This window comes from Homo sapiens, chromosome 7 (assembly GCF_000001405.40).
Source record: "Homo sapiens chromosome 7, GRCh38.p14 Primary Assembly".
NCBI classification, from domain to species: Eukaryota; Metazoa; Chordata; class Mammalia; order Primates; family Hominidae; genus Homo; species Homo sapiens.
Window position 1 is genome coordinate 78,444,952 of NC_000007.14, and position 19,353 is coordinate 78,464,304.

At 36.2% G+C, this 19,353-nt stretch overlaps 1 protein-coding gene across 15 annotated transcripts in view; it reads right to left on the reverse strand.

Moving 5' to 3' along the window:
- The window catches only part of MAGI2 (membrane associated guanylate kinase, WW and PDZ domain containing 2), a 1,436,613-nt gene that overhangs the window by 427,897 nt on the left and 989,363 nt on the right, over nt 1–19,353 (reverse strand). The gene's annotated exons all lie outside the window — the stretch shown is intronic.

Here is a 19,353-nt window from a genome sequence, read left to right on the forward strand (position 1 = left end):
GATATAGTACATATAATACTGTGCATTAAATTCTTTCTCTATTCAAATTCCCCTGTCTTGATACATTGGCTCTATCTGGGCAGGGGGCAAGAAGATCTCCTTGGGTGGTTACATGTCTTCCCAGTGCTTTTAGGAAAATGTCTAAATTCCTTAGTGTGTTTAAAGGCCCTGAGCAATCAGACCTAACGGCTCTAGCTTACACTTTAGTCACGTCTAGTGAATAATCTAGGCAAACTGAATCTCTTCCAGTGCCTTGCAAGCAGATATCATGCAACTATCTGCCCTCCTCAACCAGAATTTTTGATTTTTAAAAATTTTAAATTATTAGGAGCTATTATATTTATATGCTGTTGTTCACCATAATTCACACAATGTTGAAATCAACGAACGATTATAACTATGGATTTTCTATCCTGAATTCTTTATACTGATCCATCTTTTGGCTGGCTGCATTGTAAAATTCAGAAAGATTATGAAAAAAGGGACCTATGTGCTGTATACTTGTTTGAGAATGTCTGTTGGTTGATATATAATCTTCATATACCCTTGCAAAATAATTTGGATGAATACAAAATACTTGGGTCAAATTTACTTTACCTCAAACTTTAGTAGACATTATTCTATGGTCCAATATTGACTGTTGCTACCACAAAAGTTTAGGTTCACCTGGCACTTATTCCTCCTGAAACGCACATATAATTTCATGTTCTGGAAAATTATAATAATTTACTGGGATTCACCTTAATGTTTATTTTATATCAGATTTTTTAGATCCATCTCTTTTTATTTGTAAGCTTAAATGTGACAATTTCAGGACAGTTTTCTATTTCATTTATTAATGCATTTTCTTCCTTGAAAACATCAATTATACATGTGTGAGGTATACCATGTTTCTTACATGTATCTTCTTCATACAATTTTTTTCTTTTTGTATTTCTTTCATATATTTGTTTCCTTAAGCCTATATTGTCTTTTTTATTTTTAAAAATATTTTAATGCTACTTTTATTGCCTTTACTATTGCTTTTAGAATGATTGTGCTTTTTCCTCTTCTCTTGCTTTTCCAAGCTCTGCCAGTTTCTATTTTGTGTTTCTTTTGTCTTGTAATTTCGTCTTTAAAATCTAGTAGGTACTTTTTAAAGATTTTTTTTTAAAGAAATTATGTTTCTCTGAATTTTTTGAATTTGAAATACTATATGTTTAACTTATTTTTTATGATGGTACTTTTCTCCTTCGCATGTATTTATTTATGGCAATTTTTAATGAGATACAAGGAAGGAGAGTGGAATAAAAACCTTTTTACTCGGCCATACTTCAGTAGATGTTCTCAAGACTTAATTTTTAAAATTTTTAAAGTTTTCTGTGATGGAAGTGATCAACTTAAACTGGCATAAATATGATGTGGGACTTTCAATGGTAATCAACATATCCTGGAAGGACATATAAAAATGAGAGAGAGAGGTGTGAACAGAAGGATCTGAACTGATTAAACATTTCACTAGTTTCTCATAAAAAGGACTTGTCCATATATACCACTGAGGCAAATAGTTATGAGTTATCTCAACAGCAAAATGGATACATCATCAGGCAACCTTTTGGTTGTCTTCATAAAGTATCAATTAAAGGAACTCTACCAGATTTTGTTACCAGTAGAAAGCTATGCCTTGGGTCCTGCATGTCCTCTGCAGTCAAGTTCTGATGTTCAAAGTGGGGCAAACCAGAGAAGCAGCACTCTTTACAGATGGTCATTTTAAAAGGTTCATTAATACTCACATATGAACTAAAAATGCTAACTTGTTCATAGTTTTTCCAAGGTTTTGCTCTTCAAATGAAGCTTCAGCAATTTCATCTTATTTTAGGCATTGCAATTATGCTTATAAGCATGAAACAACCAGGCTACAACCATATATCAGCCGAAGAGTTACTAAACCCATCTAAGTTGTGACTATTATACTTAACTTCAGGTCAAACCAATCAACTGTGGCCCGTTTATAGGATGCACAGTTGGCAGTTTCTCAGAAGGATCAGTCATTTTGATTATCCTATTCAAATGATGGTTCATCAGTTACAACAAATTTTTCATCAGAATGATTTTGGAAAGATTGTAGCACTGCCCAGGGAGAGACTATCTGTATATTCAAATACAGGATAATACTTGGTATTAATAATACCGATACATGTTATCCATCAGAAGTGCAGCTAGGAAAATGGATTTGTTTTTATTTATTTACTTAGAGTCTCTTTTTAAAAACTTGACACACAATAATTGTAAATATTTATGGAGTACAGTGCAATGTTTTGATATATGTATACATTGCGTAAAAACTAAATCTGGCATTTGGCATATTCCTCACCTCATAAATTTACCATTTTTTTGTGAACAAATGTCATGTTAAAGGGATTACATTTTTTGTGTTTCCAGATGGCTAAAAAAAAAAAAAGGCTCCCTGGTCTCAAATATAAAATGGCGATAATTTTACTAATCCTCTGGGATTTTTGGTAGAAATTATCTGGGATAATGTCTATGAAGAGTTTAGCATACTGCCTGACACATGATAACTGTTCAGCATTGCACTGGATACCCAATGGGGATCTGGAGGTCAGCGGGGGAGGTATGGCTGGGAAGCATGTCAGTGACATTTCAAGTGAAGTGACATTTGGGCAAGTTGACTAGCTCACCTGGGGACACAAACAGAGCAAAAGAGAAGAGGCCTAAGAAATCATCTGCAAAGACTAGGAGGAAGAATTAGCCAAGGACATTATTGCAAGAAAGCAATGAATAGATACAAAGCTTTTGCCATTCTGGCAGGTACCTAAAGCCAACAGCCTGGGGAAATCCTTCAAAATCCTTTCTTTTTTGAAATATGCAGTGCAATATTGTTAACCATAGTTACCCACTGTGCAGTAGACAAAACTTATTCCTCCGAACTGCAACTTTGTACTTGCTGATCAATCTCTCCCTACATACCTCTCTGCACCCTTCCCAGGCAATTGATAACCACTATTCTTTTCTCTGCTTTTATAAGATCAACTTCTTTAGATTCTACATATAAGTTAGATCACACAGGTGATTTGTCTTTTTGTGCCTGGTTTATTTCATTTAACATAATGCCCTCCAGTTCATCCACATTGCTGCAAATGACAGGATTTCCTTCTTTTTATGACTGAATAGATTCCATTGTGTATATGTATCATATTTTATTTATCTACTAATTCACTGATGTACACTTAGGTTGATTCCATTATCTCCATATCTTACCTACTGTGAAGAGTGCTGCAGCGAACATGGAAATGCAAAGTTTTTTTGACAAGCTGATTTCGTTTCCTTTGAGTATATACCCAGTAGTCGAATTGCTGGATCATACGGTAGTCCTAGTTTTAATTTTCTGAGGAACTTCCATACTATTTTCCATAATGGATAGACTAATTTACATTCACATCAACAGTATAAAAGAGCTCCTCTTTCTCCACAACCACACCAGCAACGAGGGGGCTCACCAGAAAAACTGATTTATTCACAGGCATCTGGAAATGAATTACTCTGAGCAAGAAGTTACTAAATCTGAACTTGGTATGCTACTCCAAATCCCATGGCCAACACTTCTATTATTCCAGCCCACATTCAAATAGGTCATGAGATATTTGGACTTAGCTTTCAAACACAAGGTGCCATTTCAAAAAATTCTCTTGTCTTAAGACAGAATTTGGGTCCTCAAAATGAGACCTTCTCATGTTAGCTCCATTCTCTATATTTTATACAATAATTTAAATATGTATATTTGTATGCATATATATTTATGTGTAGGCTTATGCGCACACTGAAACATACACAGACACCCATACCCACCTCTGCGAGAAAACTGCTCATTGTGTGTATCATTAAAACTCAACATGAAGAGGTTAGGACAGATAACTAAAGACAAGCTTTATCAAGGAGTCAATGACCCACAGAGAAGTAACACACAGTGTCTCGTAGAGCGAAATCTTTTACCTTGCCATTTAACAGTGTGGGCGATTCAGCAGGTGAAGATATGGGTCAAAGGGCATCTGATCTGGCTTAAAAACAGTCACTCAATCTGATGGTTACTAGGAGATATTAGACATAAAACATTGTTATCTCTCAACCCTTTGTTCAGCTCTGTGACATCATTCTGCTGCCCTGGTGCCCCTTTCCATCACTATCATTGGCACCTTGCTTCTGTGGCTAACCTGATAAGGGCTATGGAAACATGTGTAGGCCCCTGAGCACCAGCAGCTGTTGAAAGGAGTGGGACAAGAGAGTTAGAAGAGAGACTGTATGTTTGAGCCCAGAAGAGCCGTATTTCTTGAATTTTGGTCATTAATACACTACCGTCAGGATTTTTGTCACAACTGCATGCCATCTGCACTATTGTTTACTTAATATTTTCTTTGAATTGATCCACAATTAAACTTACAAAATATAAACAGGAAAACTTTGTGCCATTCCATAAAAGGAAAAACAGCATGTCTCAACAGAAAGGGCAAACAACAATAAATATAAATACGATGGAAATAAAACAATTGGACTCAATTTTGACTCAATACCATTGTCTTCAAAAGTTCTAAGCAGAGTCTTGCTCCATTAGTTTAATTGCTGCCTGTGGCTTGGAAGTGTTCCAACATTAAATACTGATTTTGTATAGAATAAGTACCTATTTTTGTAGCCTTCCTGTTCTTCCTATCTGAACGCGTGTGGCTTCAAAATTTTTTTGAGGAGCTTACTGGCCTAAAAACTATACTTCCTAATACTTCATTACAATGAGGGGGCTCATTTGCTAAATATAACAATTGGTAAGAGTTTGGTATAGACATTATCACTTAACCGAGACTTTCAGACCTGAGGTTTGGGATAACCAGGTAATCAGAAGAGAATTAAAAGTAACTTTCTCACTGTGATCTTATTTAATCTACAGCTGCAGTTTCTTTGCACTTCAAATCATCCCTCATAGCATATTTTACAGGCTTTCGATAACACTGTCTTAGAGGATTACATCTATAGCAGCAGTTACATAAATGGAGCTTCATATTTTTCTTGAATAATTATGAACATATTTGATTCATTCAGGACAATATCCTTTGTAGAAGTCAATGGAATTTTTTTTTTAAAATGTGAGAATGTTCCTTTAACATTCCCATGACTTTCTTCATAATTACTTCCTAGTTATCTTTACAATATGTTATTTCCTCCTCCCATGTTATCAAATCATACTAGTATGAGGGCTGTATTGTGATGAACAATACAAAATATTGATGCATAACATTCATATGATTTAAACAATACTAACTCCTTTCAATCCTGGGAATTCATTAAAATGCAAGACATTTTAGGATATATTCTTTTGAATTATTTATAACCTTCACACACCCTCAGGGCAGAATAAAGGGGAAAGAAATGTCTTGTTAGAAATATAAAAGATGGGAAGTTATTCATATCTTGAAATTGCCCCATTTAGGAATAAATTAATCAACTCAAATAAGTGTTCCATAATTTTGCTTTCATTAATAAGATGACTAAGTTGAATGCAGCATGCACAAAGCACACGCCTCATTGTGATGAAAGTGTTTTTTAGACAGGATGCTGAGGCTTCTAGGAGTTGAAAACATTCTTAGGAAGACTGTGTGATTAAAACAGGTCTTTATTAACTTGAGGGTGACAAGAACATTTCTCATCTTCTCTGCTTACTTTTTTTTCTTGCACTTTTTGTCACTTTTGTTGGCACAGATAGCAAATACAGTCTCAGAATTGGAAGGAGAGTAATTTCCACAAGGTGACGAAATGATTAGTGATGCAGCAGGGATGTGGAACTAAGGTCATCCCAACTCTTCATCTAGTTTGTTTTCTAGCATGGGCAGTCATTAGTCTACTCATTCATTCAATACTTGGTCTGGCATAGTGATATATTCAAGCAATAGCGAGAAGAACAGGGACTTCGAGCTTCATGCTCTAATTGCTGAACCATGATACATGTTGTAATAGCGATATGATTTTCACATAATGATAGGGCATGACAAGTAAGAAAAGACAGAAAGCGGCAGGTGGTAGTAGTAGTAGTGAAATGTTGACATCAAGGTCATTTCTAGAAATATTTCTACATGCACCAGCCACAGTGCAACCCGTTCAGAATTAAAGTGAACTCACTGCTTTGCTGAACTTCTCTCCATCAGTTTAGTTCCCACTTGTGGCTTGGAAGTGTTCCAGTGTTAAATATTGATTTTGTGCAGAATAAGTGCCTATTTTTGTGCCCTTCCTATTCATCATATCCAAATGGGTGTGACTTCAGAAATTTTTTGAGGTGCTTGCTTCCTTAAATAATATACATTTCTAATATTGCATTAGAAACGAGAGGGTTCCTCCTGGTGTTTAGAACGCAAAGGAAAAATAAAAAGGGAACTGCTTTTTAACCTACTTAACATTTGAGTGCATTAGAATAATGCAGTGTCAGTCTCCAAAGGGGTTTATAGTTCTTGATGGGGAGATTGAGCATAGAACTAGTAAATTTCAGAGCTTCCCGTGAGAATGACAGAAGTAATATGAGTAGTGGTTGGGAGACCAGAGGCTGGTGCCTGCCTCTTTGGATTTGAATCCTGACATTGCCTCTTAAATAGCTGAGGAATCTTGGGCATGTTATAGTTTACCTATGCCTCAGTTTCCCAATCTGTAAAATGGGGATAATCATGGTACCAGCCTCACAGAGATTTGTTGTGAGGATTAAATGAGTTTCTGCATAAAGCACTGGGAATTGTCTGGTACAGAGTAAGTACTACATGACTGGGCACTTTTGGCAACACTGATGGATGGTAAAGCTTCTTTCCTGGATCAGGGCTTTTGATACACAAATATATGTTGTATCATTCAAAGGGTGACAGGCAGACTTTTCCCACATTATGGACCATGAACTTCCCTTTCTGGAGGATATCATTATAGGACTAGTATGCTTGGGATATGTGCTTGAGGCATTTAAAAATATTTCACAATGGAGAATCACATCTATCACACGATCTTGACTTCAAGGTTTCCTTTATTTCCAAGATCTGGTTGAATCCTGAGGGATACTGATGTAACAATATCTTTGTAATATAATGGTGTTGACTATGATGTTGATGATAGAAACTAACGTTGCTTGGGCCAGGCACTTTACTGAGTGTGGACTGTGTTCTATTTCATTTACTCTAGACAAAAACTCTATGAGGTATTATTATCCATACTTTAAAATGAGGAAATGGAGACTTAGAAGGTAAAATAACTTGATCAAGCTCACAAATTAAGTAGCAGAATCAGTACATAAATCCAGTTTTATTTGACCCCAAAGCCCATACTTCCAAGCAGGAAATGGTACTCTCTCCCTGATTTTGGTGGTAATAACCGGGGAAGTGATAGTAGGAGCAATGCATATTAAAGAGCTTTGAAAACTGTGGAGCACAGTATGAAGACAGGCTATTATTAATAGCACTAAAATTATGCTTATGATTATTTTTGTTTAATTCTAGGATAAGAACACTATACTATCTATGTGCTAATAGTTTTGAAAGGTCCCTAAAATAAATAGTTGAAAATATAAAACCCACAGTTCTTAAGTATAAAAATGTACCTTTTTCTGGGAAAAAAACCAAGTATGCAGTGTTTAATTAATTTTTATAATAAAGACATAATCTTTTCACAGGAGACTTTGTATGTAGAATGTAAAAAGCAACCATCCCTTTAAGAAATATAGAGAAAAATTCAGTTAAACAGGTATACCGGGCCACTAGATACCAAGTACCAGGTACACAGGCTATAAAATGTCTAGTAATTTGAAAATGCCTTTTGAATAAGTACTAAAGTTACTGAAGACTAATACAAAAATACATACTTTTGATGTGAACATTCAGATGTAAAAAAGTTATGTTAGTATTTATTAGCATATTTTTAAAATTTAGAAAATAAGATCATTTTAGTCTCTTGCATATTATTAGCTGATTGGGTTTCTCCTGAAAAAAAAATCACACTTGCTTTTATGTCAAAACTAAAGAAATAATTTTTGAAATTTTTTTTACTTGTAATGTATATATCATCATGTTCACTGTAAGTTGAATGTTAATAGCCTCTTTCCTCTGTTCTTTGTATTCTCTGAGGTTTTATTTTTAGTTTTCAATGGGTAATCTCACAATGTCACAGCTCTCCTGACTTTGCCACATCCAGACCTAAATCTGCCAGATCTCCTTTGCATAATGAACAATGTGAATATTTCTCGACATGTACAGCAGTTAAAACACCAAGGTACTGCAGGGACAGGTGCAATGCAAATACACAGATGGAGAAACTGAAAGACTTCATTAACATCATATAATCTCACTAATGATCAACTCTTTAAGGGAAGCTCTTTCTTCAGGGATAAAAGGAGAGAAAGCAACTGGAACAATTCTGTATAAAGGAATCGCTGTTTCCCCAGGCTCTTGGCATTAGGTACCTGCCAGAATGGCAAAAGCTTTGTATCTGTTCATTTCTTTCTTGCAATAATGTCCTTGGGTAGTTCTTCCTCCTAGTCTTTTCAGATGATATCTTAGGCCTCTTCTCTTTTGCTCTGTATGTGCCCTCAGGTGAGCTAGTCAACTTGCCCAAATGTCACTTCACTTGAAACATCACTGACATGCTTCCCAGCCATACCTCCCCCGCTGACCTCCAGATCCCCATTGGGTGGCCAGTGCAATGCTGAACAGTTATCATGTGTCAGGCAGTATGCTAAACTCTTCATAGACATTATCCCAGATAATTTCTACCAAAAATCCCAGAGGATTAGTAAAATTATCGCCATTTTATATTTGAGACCAGGGAGGCTTTCTTTAGTAATCTGGAAACACAAAAAATGTAATCCCTTTAACATGACATTTGTTGAAATATTTTTATAGATTTCCTTTGTTCTGTTCCTCTTTTACACAACATTTTTTTCCGTTTTTATTGGTATATAATAGTGGTCCATATTTTGGGGATACATGTGATATTTTGATACATGTATACAAGTATAATGATAAAATCGGGATAATTGGGATACCTATCACCCAACACATTTATCTTTCGTGTTGAAATGACTGATATCATAAATACAACCTCCACATCCGGATTAACATGTCAGAGCTGTCACTGTACCATGTGCCCGAAACTGACCTGTCTACCATTCTCTACATATACCCTGACTAACAGAGCATAATGTGATTACTCCATCGCATGAGTAGGAAACCGACAGGATCAACATACCTCAAGGTGTTTTTGGTTTTGTTTTGATTTTTATTAGCATTTGCATCAGGCTTTTGATACATCGAGCTTATGATCCATAGACTCTACCAAGAACTTTTCCCCCTATTTGAGCCATTTCTTAAGGAGATCCCTTCCTTTCTCTATACATGAAACTCATTTTTAAGACCTGATTTCAGTACCACTACACAGCTATTAGAATGATTAAAATACAGAACACTGGCTACAAATGCTGTGGAGCAATAGAAACTCTCATTCATTGCTGGTAGGAATGCAAAATTGTACAGCCTCTTTGGAAGGCAGTTTGGCAGTTTCTTACAACCCTAAACACGGTCTTATCATATGATCCAGCAATCGCATTCCTGGTTATTTATCCAAATGAGTTCAAAACTTATGTCCACACAAAAACCTGCATGTGAATGTTTGTAGCAACTTAATTCATATTTGCCAAAAACTGGAAGTAACCAATATGTCTTTCATAGTTTTAACGGATAAACAAACCATGGTGCAGCCACAGAATAGAACATTATTTAGAGATAAAACGCAATGAGCTCTCAATCCATGAAAAGTCATAAAAGTACCTTAAATGCCCACCACTAAGGGAAAGAAGTCTGAAAGGCTACATACTATATGACTTCAACTATGTGACATTCTGGAAAAGGCAAAACTATAGAGATATAAAAAGATCAGTGGTTAAGGGTTGGAAAGGGAGAAGGGATGAACGGGTGGAGCACAGGGGGTTTCTAGGGCATTGAAACTATATTCTGTATAATACTTTAATATTGGAAACACAGCATTATGCATTTGTCAAAACCGACAGAACTGTACAACACAAACAGGGAACCCGAAAGTAAACAATGGACTTTAGTTAATAATAATGTATCAATATTGGCTTATCAAATGTAACAAATATACCACATTAATGCAAGATATTAATAAAGGGGAAACTGTATATGTGTGTGGAGGGAGGGTGGGGCAGGTATATGGAACTCTCTGCACTTTCTGTTCAAGTTTTCTATAAACATAAAGCTGTTCTATAAAACAGTCTATGAATTAAACAAATTTTTTAGGAAACTTGAATTCAGAAATGTCTACTTATCTGTTGTTATACTGGTTTCTTACTAGTTTCTCATTGGGTAATTAAGAAATATTGATTCTGTCATTTTATCCTATTAATAGTTATTTCTAGCTCTGAGTCATCTACAATTGTAATAAACATACCTTGCTTCTAGCATTCATACAATACAACAATGTAGACAGAATAAGACCATCTTACTTCAGACTATAATCTCTTTAGGTACAACTTTTCAACCAGTTTTAAATATGCCCATTATTTAACCCCAATTTCTCTCACCCACAAAAATATCCTGAAAGATTATGTTAATATTTTAATGAAAATAAAAATATATTATGCAGAGCACATTACCTGGCCCACAGCTGTTACTTATTAAATTGTGGCTATTGTTAGTATTTTCCTGCCATAATATAGTCGCTATACCAACACATAATTGTTAGTTTGTTATTTCTCATGTTCAGTGATGTTAGTCTGGCTTCTAAGGATCACCATATTAGGTGCTAAGTGCTCAAGAGTAATCTGTTTAATTATTTTTTTTCGTCTTTTCTTTCAAAGGTTGACACTAAGTCTACCTATTTTTTGTTTACAAAAGCTACCCACATTTGCCCTTTTAGGAATCAGTAATACCCTAATGTTTTTTCCCATTTCAATCACTTTCAGAACCTGGGTCTGGGCATTTGAACTACTTTAAAGAGACCCACTCGATATTTTCTTTACAGCTCTCAGGGCCATCTTTGTCAACTTGAGATGAAAGATGCACCTAGTCAACTTGTTTCAGTTGCTTCTACATGATGTACTTTTTTTTTTTTCTACTCTTTGCCCTTTGAAGACAATGTCCATTCAAGGAGAAGATGCAACAAGCCAGGAGTCATAGTTCTGCTTTCTATTTTACCTTTAATATTAGAGTAGTGGTGAATTTCTTCCTATACATGTTATAAAGAGTGAGTTTTGTTGTTATTGGTGGTGTGGCATTTGCTGTCAGCTCAGCTTATGCTAAACTTTAAGGCTTTTTATAAGTTTGTGCCATATTAACCCTGGGACATATTCTACCTTCCATCTCCCTTAAACGTCCTTTTAAAACCTCTAATTCTATGTAAGAATCCTTCATTCTCTAATAAACTTGAGTAAAGTGGCATTTTTCAGGGACTTTTGCAGTCATCACTTATGCATTTATTTTTTAAAAAATTACTGAGCACATACTCTAGGCTAAGCATTGTGCCAGGCATTGTGAAAATTGACATTACTAAGACCCAATCTATTTTCAGGAATTTGACTGTATAATCAATACTCCATAAACATTTGTTGAACACCTGCTATGTGCTAGGACTAAAAGACTTGTGTAAATTTATTCCGGTATAATACAATAACTATATCAACAGGAAGACATACAAAATACAGTGGTTTCAGAGGAGGGTGTGATGAACCCTACGGACGTAGGGATGGGAGCAAGCCAGGAAAATCTTCTAGGAAGACAATATATTCAACCTAGGTTTCAAAAAGGAGAAGTTCACAGGTAAGAAGAAAGGAAAAGGGAGTCTAGTGGAGAGTATGATACCAACCATAGTTAAATACTAGGATGGGTCATTTTGCTTTTTGAATTATCCTCTTTTAGTATTCTGAAGAAAGGAGATGGTTTACCTTTTCCTACAGGGAACATCAACCAATGTAAGCGTGAACACATCTGTAAGAGACATACATTTAGCAACAATCTGCAAGTCGGTGCAAAAGTTTTCTGGAAGATCAGATTTCTACAGTTATTAAGATGATTGCTTTTCTGAGCAGCTCTTAGGACCCCTGTGAACTGCAATGAATATCCTCTTTGCTTTCAGTTCACCGTGTTTGAGGATGTCAGGGAGAGCTGCTTTCCACCTACTAGCCCTGCCCCGCTTTAGGTGTCAGCAAACTAGTTGGTTACTTGTAGCAATTGGCACATAGTTGGCTTTCACAGTGTCAAACTCAATCCTTCTTCTCAAACTCTTTTACATCTGCAGACCATGATGAAAAGTTTTCTATGTTGTTTTATTCCCTTATCACAGAGTCAAGAAGGATGCTTTGGGAATTCTTTTGGAGGAAAAGATTAAGAAGTCAGATTCTCCTAGGTTCAAATCCGGGCCTTAGGTTGGAAACCAGAATCTACCATTTACTGGCTGATGGACCTTTGAACAAGATATTTCAGCTCTGTGAGTCTCAGTTTCCTTATTTTCCAAATTGGAATAATAAGGTCTACTGAGGTCCTTCTGAGGATTTTGTAATATAATATATCTTAAAATGTTTAGCAGAGTTCTAGACATATGACATATTAAAACATGATAGTCCATGTTCTTTTAATAAAAGTAATAAAAAGGAGAAAGGGAGAGAAAAAGACCAACACTTGCACAGACCTTTCAGAGGTAGCAGGTGGTATGTTAGACATTTTACATATTATCTCATTTAATCCTCACAGTAATGTAATAATCAATTCTATTTTTATAGACTAAAAATACAGCTCATGACAATGATGTAAATTGTCCCAGGGCACAGACTAGTCAGTGTAAGAGCTGAGATTCAAATCCACTTCTGTATCTCCAAAGCCTATGTGTGCTTTTCAATACATTATACTTAGAAAAATAAAGATTTTTGCACAAGTATATTCAATAATCTCCAAAGCCTTTAATAATATGCACAAACTTAAGAAATTATTTTCATGTTCTGGAATGCTGAATTTATAGTCTACACATAGTTTAAATGGAATAAAAGAGTAGGCTGGGCGTGGTGGCTAATGCTTGTAATCCCAGCACTTTGGGAGGCTAAGGCGGGCAGATCATGAGGTCAGGAGATCGATACCATCCTGGCCAACATGGTGAAACACCGTCTCTACTAAAAATACAGTAATTAGCTGCGCGTGGTGGCACACCCCTGTAATCCCAGCTGCTCGGGAGGCTGAGGCAGGAGAATCACTTGAACTAGGCAGTCGGAGGTTGCAGTGAGCTGAGATCATGCCACTGCACTCCAGCCTGGAGACAGGGCAAAACTCGGTCTCAAAAAAAAAAAAAAAGAATAAAAGAGTAAAATTGAATCAAGTATCTTATGTTCCTGTTGAAACCATATTGTTCTAATATTTTCAACACCACAGGCTTGAAGGGCAGTCACATAGTAAAACTACTAATTTTGAAACTACTGGCAAGATGAAGGATTGCTTTATGAAGTTTATGTATTTGTTTTGATGTATGTTTATGGGTGTGTGCATATATAAGTTTATATATACTTTTCCCATTTTCCATTTTATACAATTAAATAATAGTTTAAATTATGTTACATGAGTAACAAATAATAGTTTACAAAGGTAAAGGTAAATCATCTTTGCTGCAATCTGTTTTTTGTTAGGTTTTTTTTTTTTTGAGACAGAGTCTCACTCTGTTACCCAGGCTGGAGTGCAGTGGCACGATCTCGGCTCAGTGCAAGCTCCGCCTCCTGGGTTCATGACATTCTCCTGCTTCAGCCTCCCGAGTAGGTGGGACTACAGGCGCCCACCACCACGCCTGGCTAATTTTTTGTATTTTTAGTAGAGACGGTGTTTCTCCGTGTTAGCCAGGATGGTCTAGATCTCCTGACCTCGTGATCCGCCCGCCTTGGCTTCCCAAAGTGTTGGGATTACAGGCGTGAGCCACTGGGCCGGGCTCATTACTTTTTTTCTGAAGGAAATAAAAATCTAAAAATTCAAATGTAAGAGCAACCAAAGTTATGATTGTCTTTAACTTAGAAGCTGTTGACTGATAATACTGAGTTTGATAAAAGAGCATTCAAAGTACATTTGCACTTTTTAAACAGTAAAATAATTGAGTATTTTTATATTTCATAAGTAAACATAGAAACTGCTTCTACACTTCTGTCAATCCATGTTTAACAAATGTATACCAGATTGATAATTAAAATCCTTGAGATATGGCAAGGCAACTTTTGAATATAATCAATATAAAACATTTCATTAAGAGTTGCATAATAATCTGCAGTAGATAGAACCATTTAAAAGCAGAATTCTCATCTTGTCATTATTACCTAGATACACTTTGCATAAACTTTGGTGAGTAGAGAGTCTTGAGCAAAAGGTAGTATTAACACGTTTATGGCTCATTTCCTTTTTTAGTTACATCTATGAGGGCTCTAAAAATGGAGTCTTTAAATTAATTATAAATGCAGAGGCTGAATATTTAAAACCTCTTAAGAGCAAAGGTATTTTCAATTACTTCATACTTACATATTTTGGAAAATACACTGATATGGGACATATTCCACGAATTTAATATTCCTCCATTTTCTTGTTAAATGAGCATGGTGAGCAGTAGAGATAAAGATTACTTTAATTAAGTGTGCAATGAATCCCATAAAACTTAATTGAACACTTTATTTTCATGCAGATATTTTCTCTTACTCAAATGTTTTTCAGCTATGCTGTATGCAATCATTTTAAATCTAATATTTCAACGAATAAGCAAAGGTTTTAAGACAATTCAGTGTCTTCAAATTCCTTATGGCATTTGAGAATGACCTTTAGATTCTGAAAAGGTGAGTGTTTTACATTTATTTAAGCTGACAAGAAAAACATAGAAGTACCTCTAAACCAAATCAGTGTTTAGAATAGCCAGAGCCATTTTGGTGAATGCAGAAATAGTGATGGCTGCAGATTTCACAAGTGCTGAATTACTTACCATGAATGGACATCTGTTGGGCTGCACCCCAGGGCATTTATTTTGCCTGTCTTCTAGTGTTTCCCAAAGAGACAACACAAGACAAGAATTTAATATCCAACCCCTGTGTATAGCTGGCTTTCACTCTGCCAATTACTATTCTTCCAATAAATGTGATATGGCATCATGTGATCATACTTATTCTTCCAATAAATTACACAGAAACATCCAGAAACAAATCCTATAACCATCTGAAATTTGGTTGGTTAGCCAAAAGGTCTGCTGGCAGATCACAGAAAACAACTGAGTGCGCGAATCAATGTAGTGAGGTAACTTACGCAGGTCACACATGTTCACTGTGAAACTTCCCTTTAGCTCAGCAATTAGAAAAAGAATTCTACATTTAACTGCATGGTTACTACATTTGGTAAAAACAAGGTACTTGTTCTAAGTGTCAAACTGATAGTTCTTTTGAAAATTCTAACTCAGATTTCCATGTTGTTAATGAATTGTGGCAAAATATTGCCATTTAAGTTGCCAACACATGTCAGAGATAGATGATATACACACACGGTATGGCAGATGCACCTGCCAGCAATAACTTAGGCACACACTGAGAATGACAGTGTGGTCTAAGAAGGGGTGTTCAGAGTTTCAAGTTAAGGAATCTTTGAATGGCCAACCTGGAGGTTTACTCCTTATTTACAAAGGATATCTGAATACCTAGCCCATTTCTTGGAACGCAGGATGTGCAAGGCACTGAGGCCCTTTGCTTTGGGTTAAATGGAGGTTGCTAGGTGGAGGTTGCTAAGTGAAAATGCTATATAACCTGCATACTTTTTACAAATGGTAGCTGTTATCCTGTCCAGCCTGCCACTCCTGGACACTGCCCTATATGTAAGTCCTCAATAAACCTTATGTCTTATTCACTGGCTTTGGGTCTCTTCTTCAACCTCTCAGACAGGGTGCCATCACTATTGGAGTCAATAAGGATCTGGTAAAACACACACACACACACACACACTCTCACACACACACCCTTCTTTTTAAAAAATCTTTCCTGGCCTTTCATGCTTTGCCTTTCTTCGTTCTTTCTAACAACCTTTCTATCTACCTATCCTCTTTTCATCCCCCCATTGAGTTTTTTTTAATCTCTTTTACCATCTTTTCTCACATCTTTCTGCCCATATTTCATTCTATGTCAGTTTATCCAGTTATTGTTTTAACATTCAATATATATTTGAGTGCCTACTGTTTGCGAAGAGGTGGACATATTACCTGTGCTAGGTCAATAAAAATATTTTTAACTCTTCGAATAATTTGATAAATAAAAGCACTCTAAGAGAGGGTTTGTTTCCTTATTGGTTTACATTTTGGTGAGTAATTTAAGTGTATAAGTAAGAAAACATTAAAAATACAAAAAAGAAAATAGATTCCTGGACACGTGTGTGTGCGTGTGTGTGTGTGTGTGTGTGTGTGTGTGTGTTGGGATATATTGCTCTTGGTTAGAAGAATCAGATTTATTAGTTTTTCTGTATTTTCATATTTTGTATAGCTTTAATCTTTAACCAGTTTAGAGTACAGTAATTTTATGTTGCTAGTATAGCCTAAAACAAAGATTTTTCCTGGTTTTGGATTTAGAGCTTTTCAAAATTTCACTGAAGAGAAGTGATGTAAAAAAGAAACAGCAGGCCAGACGCAGTGGCTCATGCCTGTAATCCCAGCACTTTGGGAGGCTGAGGTGGGCGGATCACCTGAGGTCGGGAGTCCGAGAGCAGCCTGACCAACATGGAGAAACCCCGTCTCTACTAAAAACACAAAATTAGCTGGGCGTGGTGGTGCATGCCTGTAATCCCAGCTACTCAGGAGGCTGAGGCAGGAGAATTGCTTGAACCCAGGAGGCAGAAGTTGTGGTGAGCCGAGATCACACCATTGCACTCTAGCCGGGGCAACAAGAGCAAAGCAAAATTCCGTCTCAAAAAAAAAAAAAAAAAAAAAAAAAAAAAAAGAAAGAAAGAAACAGGAAAAATTAAATGATTATAATGTAAAATTAAGTGATTATAAGGTGAGGTTTGAACCTGATTTTCAAGCACTTATGATTCAATTTTGTAAAGAAAATGTTGAAATCAAATATGTGACTCCATGGCACTGATGGTGTACTCTTATTTAAAACTCAATTTTTGAAAAAATTTACTTGAATGAAGCATATGTTGTGCCTTGCCTACACAATTTACATTGATTCTTCATCTTCTCTCACAAATGTCTCCCATATCCCACTACTCATTTTTTGTTAAAATTCCAGGAAAAAGACAATAGTCATCAGACAAAAACCAGTATACAAATTAAGTTAATGGAAACCAAGAGTGAAGGTGGCAAAGGTGCATTCAGCATTGAAACTAAATAGCAGGATGATGGCATAAAAATAGAGACAATGAAAAATGTATCGCTATTCTGAAATAAACTTCACATTCTCTTGATCTAAGGGAACCTGGGAACAGGACTTTAAAATCTAACACTAGAAATAATGATGAGAGGAGGAGAGCCCTCAAGGCATTTTAATATTGAAAATCTATTGCCATATCTAGCAGTATTATTATAGGTATGTTGAAATTACTGTACATTCTATTAAATCTAAAGAAGGTGCCTCTGATTTCACTGGCTGATTTAGTGGAAGCAAATCAATGAACATGGTTATTGCAAAACCTTTTTCGCAAAATGTAATTAAAAATCCTTATCAGTTTGCATATTAAATGAATGATTAATATTTTCCCAAATAGGCAGAATCAAAAGCTTCCTAGAAAATCCGGGTAAAATTGTAATGCTGCTGTGTGAAGGTATATTCACAGTCAGCATGCAGCAACGAGGAAGCAGGAAGCCTCCTGCCTTGACAAACCCGCGTGGTTCCTGAAAACGTAGTCTTTTGGTGAGCTGATGGCAGAATTCACAACTTAACATGAAGATATTCTGCTCTCATTCAGCACACGCAAGTGAACCTTGGCTATAACTTTCTACAAGGTTTCTAAAATTGAGAAACAGGTGGATTTAAAACCAGAGATACAGTCAATGGAGTGTAGACTACTCAGAGGGCTATGGCTAGAGTTAAATGGCAGCTTATAAAAATGTTATCTGGGGCCCACCTTGAACCTTTGAAGAAAAAGGATGGTTCTTGATGTAATTTGCCCATAGGGCCTGGTGCCTGTGGTGTGCTCTGAAAGAGAGCATCTATATCCAAAAAGATGTGCCTGCTGAGAAGGGCTGCTGGCAGCTGTGGTGAGCATACATGAGGCTGTACCACGAAAGCAGGAGAGACACCAACGAGGCATTTGCTGAGCACTGCCGTGACAGAAAAGACATGTACAGGGAAACATACATAGTAGACAGTGAGATGATCCAAGAACAGAGTGCATAGATTAAAGACAGTAATGTTTAAAGAAGTTTTGGAAGTTCCTGGGATAGGATGTTAAAAGAACCAACCCAGAAAGAGAGTTTTAAAAAGCTTTGTCTTCCCCACTTTCATTTAGATGTATTCTAATCAGAGACTCTCTGAGGCCTTTTACATTAAGCACAGCAGCCTTTGTGGAGAAATAAAAATATGTATTAATTGTACAGCCCTCATAGCAATTAAATATCTGGGAGTAGATGCTACCATGTGAGGTCCTGGAATATAAGCGGGAGAGCAAAGATGCAAGAATAACATTCTGGGAAACTCCCCCTCGCAAATGGAGGTGGTTTGATATGGAGAAAGTGATGAGCTAGAGAAATTGAAAGTAAACAAGGAAAGGCTTCCGTTTAGGAAGCAAGGAAGAATAAAGACTGTCATTATTTTTCATGTCTACTATGCATACTAAGTAGTGTTTTAGTCAATGTTGGATTTGTTGCATAATATAGCAAAGGACCTAGACTCTAAAAAGAGTTAAATAAATGTTTGCTATAGATAATAGGAAGGAAGGGGGAATGAAAGAAGGGAGGAAGGTAGGTAGGAGGGCAGGCAGGCAGGTAGCAAGTAGGGAAGCAGATGAACAAGAGTGAGTTAACCCATCAATGTCTCATTTATATGTAAAATGGGAATTGTTGCAAAGGTTGTAAGAGATAACACATGTAAATTGCTTATTGCAGTATCTGATATACTGGAGGTGCTCAAGAAATGCTAAATATCATTATCATAATTATTGCTATCTTTAGCATCATCATCCTCACCACCACCATCATTATCCTCGGAGCATTTCTAAAAAGGATATTTGAGAAATGCTTCAGTTTGCTGGGACCTACAAATGCATCTTTCTTGATAATCCTCCCACTCATGCTTTAACCCACTTCTATTTAGCTTCTACTCTGCGACACTCCAAGAATTAATGCCTGCCAAAT